We start from the raw sequence: 6932 nt of genomic DNA, 5'->3' as shown, positions 1-6932 counted from the left end.
TGGTAATGAATTTTAACAAATGACACAGAAGGTTGATATACACAGAAGAAATGACAATGTGGATTTCTTAATATTTACAGTTTATACTCTGGAAGAGACCTTGTTAAGAGAACAAAAAGACAAGCCACATATTGAAGAAAATATTTGCAAAATACAGATCTGAGAATTTGTATTCAAAATATATAAAAAATTGTTAAAACTAAACAATAAGTTAAACAGCCCAATTAAAAATGCACACAGATCTGAACAGACGCCTCATCAAAGAAGATCTACAGATGGCAAGTACACCTACAAAAAGATGCTCAACATACTAGAGAACTGAAAACCACAAAAAGATAGCACAGCTGGTCTATATCTCTTAGAACTGCTAAGCTCTTTAACAAATGACAAATTGCTGGAGGAAAAACAAGAACTCTTTTCATTGCCAGTAGAACACAGTGTATAAGACCAAACTATGCCACCCCAAAATATAATGGTAGGAAACCAGAATATGCAACCCCAAAATATGTCCCTTTGGCTTAAAAATTATTCCAAGCTAATTATTTTGAAAAAAAAAATGCTAACAAAGGAAGTTGTGAAAACAGAGTAAAAGTTACTTGTGTAAGGAAAATTTACACCTATAAAGGAAATCACCATTTAAAAGCTACCTCTCTCGACACCAAGAAGAGAAGGATAACTAAATCACTGAAGAGTCTTATCAATGAAGAATGCATGGACTTAACTCTGTATAATGAACCTTACCCCTGTCTAATGTGCTTTTGCTGGTTAACTTCCCACTACTGCACCTCAAATCTTCTTTCTTTAAGTTGAAGATAGTATTTATGCTTGAATTGAAAGCCACCTGTTGGAGATTTACTCATTTTTCCCTGAGTATATCCCATGTAACCATAAGATATACATGTTTTTAAACTTTTCTGTTTTTCTCATTTTAATCTGTCACTTTTTACAGAGCGTTCCATCTAAGAATTCCAAAAACAGAAAATTATTTTTCCTCCCCTATTACAAGTTGGGCATTTTTTTCCAAAGCTAAACAAGTCTCACCTTACAATCCAAAAATAACATTCCTAAGTATTTTGACAACTACTTTGATGTTATTTCCCATCAAAAGCTACCATGCAGTTATTTACAGAAGCCCTATTCATAATGACCAAAGGAAAAAAAAGGAATCAGAAAGCCTTACAATAGATGACTGTGTGGGAATCCACTCAGACATCAAAAGTTGTTATAAAGATTATTTAAATGAAAACATTTGAGATACTGAAGATGAAGAAATCTTACCAGAACTTACTTTATCCAATTAAAGCAGAGCTCCCAGTAAAATACAGCTGGCATTAACCCCATCCAAGGAGTTTCTTGCAAATTCAGCTGCCATGAAGACAGCGTACTCTTTCGCATTAGCATTGATAAATGAAAATTAAATTCTAAGCTCCCAACTGACTGAACAGACCCACTCTTGGCTGAGGGGACCCCAGAGTAACTTTCAAAACTGAGTTCTCAGCTTTGCTAGGATGCGATGATGGGGTTAAGATACACATCGTTATACCCCCTCCTTTGCTAACCATGATGAGGCTTTCTTCCCTAAGGATTTAACAGAAACCAGCCCTTTCAAAGCCTCCACCACTGATATCAACCTCTCCTTTCTTGCCTGATAAGAGACCACCCACGATGGAGAGGTTCTGGCCAGCGTACAGAGGATGCACAGAGCGAGTTTTCATTTCCTCTGCTTCACCTTTTAATGTCAGAGGGCTGAAAACTCCACCCTGGGATCATGCTAACACTGCCATTTTTTGTACATGGGACCCATGAAGAAGCAAGAAACTCAATTGTGCGTGCATGCATTTCTCCTTCCATAAATATTCATGACTCCTCCTAGAGCTTATTAAATAAATCTATTTGGCCATTCCACTCAGCATAAATTGCTATTTCCTTTACCTCCTCCTTGAAGCATCTGTTTCTGGCTTCTGGCTGGAGGCTATGCTTCCCAGCCTGTCAGAAGGACAACCCTGCAGGCTACAACCCTTTATAGAAAATAAATCTCTCACTGGGTGGGTGGCTCATGCCTGTAATCCCAGCACTTTGGGAGGCCGAGGTGGGTGGATCACCTGAGGTCAGGAGTTTCAGACCAGCCTGGCCAACATGATGAAACCCTGTCTCTACCAAAACTGCAAAAAATTAGCCAGGTGTGGTGGTGGGCATCTGTAATCCCAGCTAATCAGGAGGCTGAGGCAGGAGAATCGCTTCAACCCAGGAGGTGGAGGTTGCAGTGAACCAAGATCATACCATTGCACTCCAGCCTGGGCAACAAGAGTGAAACTCTGTCTCAAAAAAAAATAAAAATAAGCATAAAAATGAAGAAATGTCTCCTTTCCAAATTTATGAACCTCATCATTCTTCCATTGACAGCATTAAAAGGTTCAAAAAGACCTTTCCATACTCTCCCACAGAAGCCCTAGAAATTGTCATTTTGTTAATCATTCTGGATGCCTGAGAACTTGTAATCCAATGAGTAGAAAGTTTGGTACCCCATTTATGGCTGTCAACCTGCCAGTTCTCAGGAGTTTGTAAAAGCCTAAATCCGAAAGGATCTCATCCCATTAGGACCCTTGTCTCCTTTTCTGTTACCTTTTCCCACTGGCTCTGGCAACAGGGGTCTTTCTTTCTCCTTGGCTATCTTTGGATATGGGGGCTCCGTCTTCTGTGCCACCTTAGGGAATGCCTTTTGCAGGCATGGCTAAGTCATTAAAAAGCCTACAGTTTCAGTAACATTTTGAGTGAGTACTCTCTGAAGCTGCGTTGGAATCTCAGGCTTCTTTGTCTGGAAGATAACTCTTGGGCTACAAGTTTCTTATCCTAGCTTTGGTTTTGAGGCCTCTCTGTTCTCCTCTTGGGTTGGAAGTTATTCCTGGCTTTTTGTTTCAAGGTGTCTCTGTGATCTTGATCTTGCTGCTTTCATGGGAACTTCTCAGTTCACTAAATTCTCCCTTCTCCAACCTCTGCTGACTATGTGTTCCACCAATATGGAACTAATTCTACTTCTTTTCCTGTTTGCATGACTTTACTAAGAATTATTTACAACTTTAATGGCTCCTTTGAGAAAATTTTTATTTTCCAAATTGCCTCCTTTTAGACCTTTCCTTTCCCAGTTGAGTCTCTCAACTCCCTATAATCACTGAAACTTCAGGCACCCCACTCCATGCCTTGGAAGCTCTCAATGTGCTCAAGAATCTGCAAAAGCAAACACCTGGGGCTGAAGAATAAAATAGAAAAAAAATTATTTCTCAGTCTCCATAAGATTCTATGTCAAAAAAAAAGAAAATCTTTAAAATCTCCAAAAATATTGGTGAGAAAAAAGCCTTAGCCCTCATATGAAGAAGAAAAAACTTGTTCCATTTTCCAGATACATAGTTATAATACAAATATAAAATGGGGCAAAGACAAAAACCAAGTCTTCTATATAAAGTAGTGAATTTTGTAGTTATTGTAATCACATTAGGCAGGGGTCTCCAGAAAGGCAGAATCAATAGGATATATGTAGATAGATGAGAGAAGATTCATTAGGGGAACTGGTTCACATAATTATGGAGGCTGAGAAGTTCCACAATAGCCTGTCTCCAAGTTGGAGAACCAGGAAAGCTGGTAGCATGGCTCACTCCAGATACAAAGGACTCAGAATCAGGGAAGCCAATGGTGTAACTCTGATTGTGAGGCCAAAGGTCTGAGACCCTGAAGTTCTGATGTCAAGGGCAGGAGAAGAAGGATGTTTCCACTTCAGAAGGAGATAATTCACCTTTCCTCTTCCTTGTTATTCTATCTGGGCTCTCAACCAATTGGATGGTGCCTGTATTCATCCATTTTTATACAGCTATGAAGAAATACCTGAGTCTGAGCAATTTATAAAGAACAAAGGGGTTTAATGGGCTGACAGTTCCACATGGCTGCAGGGGCCTCACAATCATGGCAGAAGGGGAAGCAAAGCTATCCCTCTTCACATGGCAGCAACAAGAAGTGCTGAGCCAAAGGGGAAAAGCCCCTTATAAAACCATCAGATCATGAGAACTCACTCACTGTCATGAGAACAGCATGGCGGTAACCACCACCATGATTCAGTCACCTCCCATTGGGTCCCTCCCACGACATGTAGGTATTACAGGAACTACAATTCAAGATGAGATCTGGGTGGGGACACAGCCAAACCATATCAGTGCCCATCCACATTGGGTCATGGTTATCTCAGTGTCTTCCAGAAACACCCTCATAGATATGCCCAGAAATCGTGTTTGACCAGCTATGTGTGTCTCTTAATCCACTCAAGTAGATGTCTAAAATTAACTGTCAGAATATTTATGCCTGATTCATGGCTGAAATTGTGTTTGATCAGCTATGTGTGTCTCTCAATCCAATCAAGTAGATGCCTAAAGTTAACCATCAGAATATTTATGCCTGATTCATGGCTGAAATCGTGTTTGACCAGCTATGTGTGTCTCTTAATCCAGTCAAGTAGATGTCTACAATTAACCATCAGAATATTTATGCCTGATTCATGGCTGAAATCTTGTTTGACCAGCTATGTGTGTCTCTTAATCCAGTCAAGTAGATGTCTACAATTAACCGTCAGAATATTTATGCCTGATTCATGGCTGAAATCGTGTTTGACCAGCTATGTGTGTCTCTCAATCGGATCAAGTAGATGTCTGAAATTAACCATCAGAATATTTATGCCTGATTCAAGGCTGAAATTTCAGGATGAAAGCTATGAAATCTCTATTTGTGTTTGTATATCTATTAATGTATGTTATGTATATGTGATATTTTCTTAACTCCAGAGAGCATTGCAAAATTCATTTATGAAATCCTCTAAAAGTGCTCTATTCTAACTTGGCTTGGAAAAAAATAAGCATTTATAAATAAATATTCACCAAACTCCTAGAAATATAGGAACTGATCAAATGTTTCTTAAGTTAACATGATTTGGATAAAACTTAGTTAAATAAGATTAATATAGTATTTTTGGTGTAATAAAACAACTATATCTTCAAAATTATCATTATTGAATATAAAACAAGCATAAATTCCTATTCTGCTTGAGTTCTAGTCAAATAAGCTAATATTATACTTACTAGAAATGTAAAATCTTAAAGCTTATAGATTTGATTCTAATTAAGTTGTCATTCTTATGAAAAACATTATTTTTTTATGCTGAAAAAATACACATATATTTAGAGTTAGCCAGCTGGACTCAGTTTAGATGATCCCAATTTTGTTACAACATCGAAAGCATCATAATCAGGAGCAAGTCGAACATATGCCTTGTTCTCTTTATCAGGACAAATCAGGGTGGTGACCTTGGCCACATCACTGTCATAGAGCTTCTTCACAGCCTGTCTGATCTGGTGCTTGTTGGCTTTAACATCCACAGTGAACACAAGCGTGTTGTTTTCTTCTATCTTCTTCCGGCCGACTCAGTGGTCAGCGGAAACTTGATGATAGCATAGTGGCCAAGCTTGTTTCTCCTGGGGGTGCTCTTCCGAGGATATCTGGGCTGCCTCCGGAGTCGCAGTGTCTTGGGCCGCCTGAAGGTGGGTGACATGCGGATCTTCTTTTTTGCGTGTGGCTGCGGACACCTTTCAACACTGCCTTCTTGGCCTTTAAAACCTTCACTTTGGCTTCGGCTTTAGGAGGAGCAGGAGCTTCCTTCGCTTTCGGTGCCGTCTTGTGAAAAGCGAAAAACATTATTTCAAAAATAATTTGTTTACAGTAAATCTGCCTAAGAATAGTTTCCAAAGTACTTTTGGTAATTTTTAACCTTAAAGTTAAGCTAAGTAAAAGATTTGCATTAAATATCTAGACCATTTATAAATAAGATACAATACTAAAACATTAATTACTGAACATAAATAATTCAAGTTTATATACTTTTGGCTTCCTGTTTTTACAGAGAGACTAAAGATATTTTGGCCCGTTAATAAACATGTTTTTTTCTGCCACACTGAGGAATTGTATTATGAGGAAACACATCCCTCTAGATGTTGGGAGATGGTATATTCATACATTTTCTAACCTACTATAGAATGCTAATATATGACAGTTTATAACTGTCTACTTCCTAGTTTTCTCTGGAAAATAAAAGATTACTAAGTATTAAAATTATAATCAATATATGTAAATAAAACTACTAGAAATAATAGAATAACTAGAAACAACTCTATGCAAAGCATGCAAGAAAAGTAGGGCATGTTTCGCAAGTAAAGTAGGTTGCATTTTTTATAAGGAAAACCATACAGAAGATACAAATAAAAAGAGATACCTAACCTTCCCTGTGTTATATTTGTATGGGTAAAATGTTATGTTTTCAGAAATTATATAAAATTCCTGGAAGTTTGTCAATGTCCTCCTTATCCATGCTATGTGCCACTATAGAGTAATGAGTCATAATTCCAATTATTACTTTAAATGTTGTGCCAGGCACAGTGGCTCATGCCTATAATCCCAGCACTTTAGGAGGCTGAGGCAGGTGGATCACAAGGTCAGGAGATCCAGACCATCCTGGCTAACTCGGTGAATCTCCATCTCTATTAAAAATATAAAAAATTAGCCGGGCGTGATGGCAGGCACCTGTAGTCCCAGCTACTCGGGAGGCTGAGGCAGGAGAATGGCGTGAACCCAGGAGACAGAGCTTGCAGTGAGCCGAGATCGCACCGCTGCACTCCAGCCTGGGCGACAGAGCAAGACTCTGTCTCTAAATAAATAAATAAATAAATGTTGTCTGCCACAGAAAAAATCTAATATTTTGGTAGAAACCCCGTCTCTACCAAAAATACAAAAATTAGATGGGCATGACGGCATGTGCCTGTAGTCCCAGGTAATCAGGAGGCTGAGGAGGGAGGATCGTTTGCACCCAGGAGGTAGAGGTTGCAGTGAGCTGACATTGCACC

At 38.8% G+C, this 6932-nt stretch overlaps 1 pseudogene; it reads right to left on the bottom strand.

The window, feature by feature from the left end:
• Nucleotides 5193–5720, bottom strand: RPL23AP88 (ribosomal protein L23a pseudogene 88; annotated as a pseudogene).

Source organism: Homo sapiens, chromosome 2, assembly GCF_000001405.40.
Source record: "Homo sapiens chromosome 2, GRCh38.p14 Primary Assembly".
Taxonomy (NCBI): Eukaryota; Metazoa; Chordata; class Mammalia; order Primates; family Hominidae; genus Homo; species Homo sapiens.
This window is presented reverse-complemented; position numbering and strand designations above follow the sequence as displayed.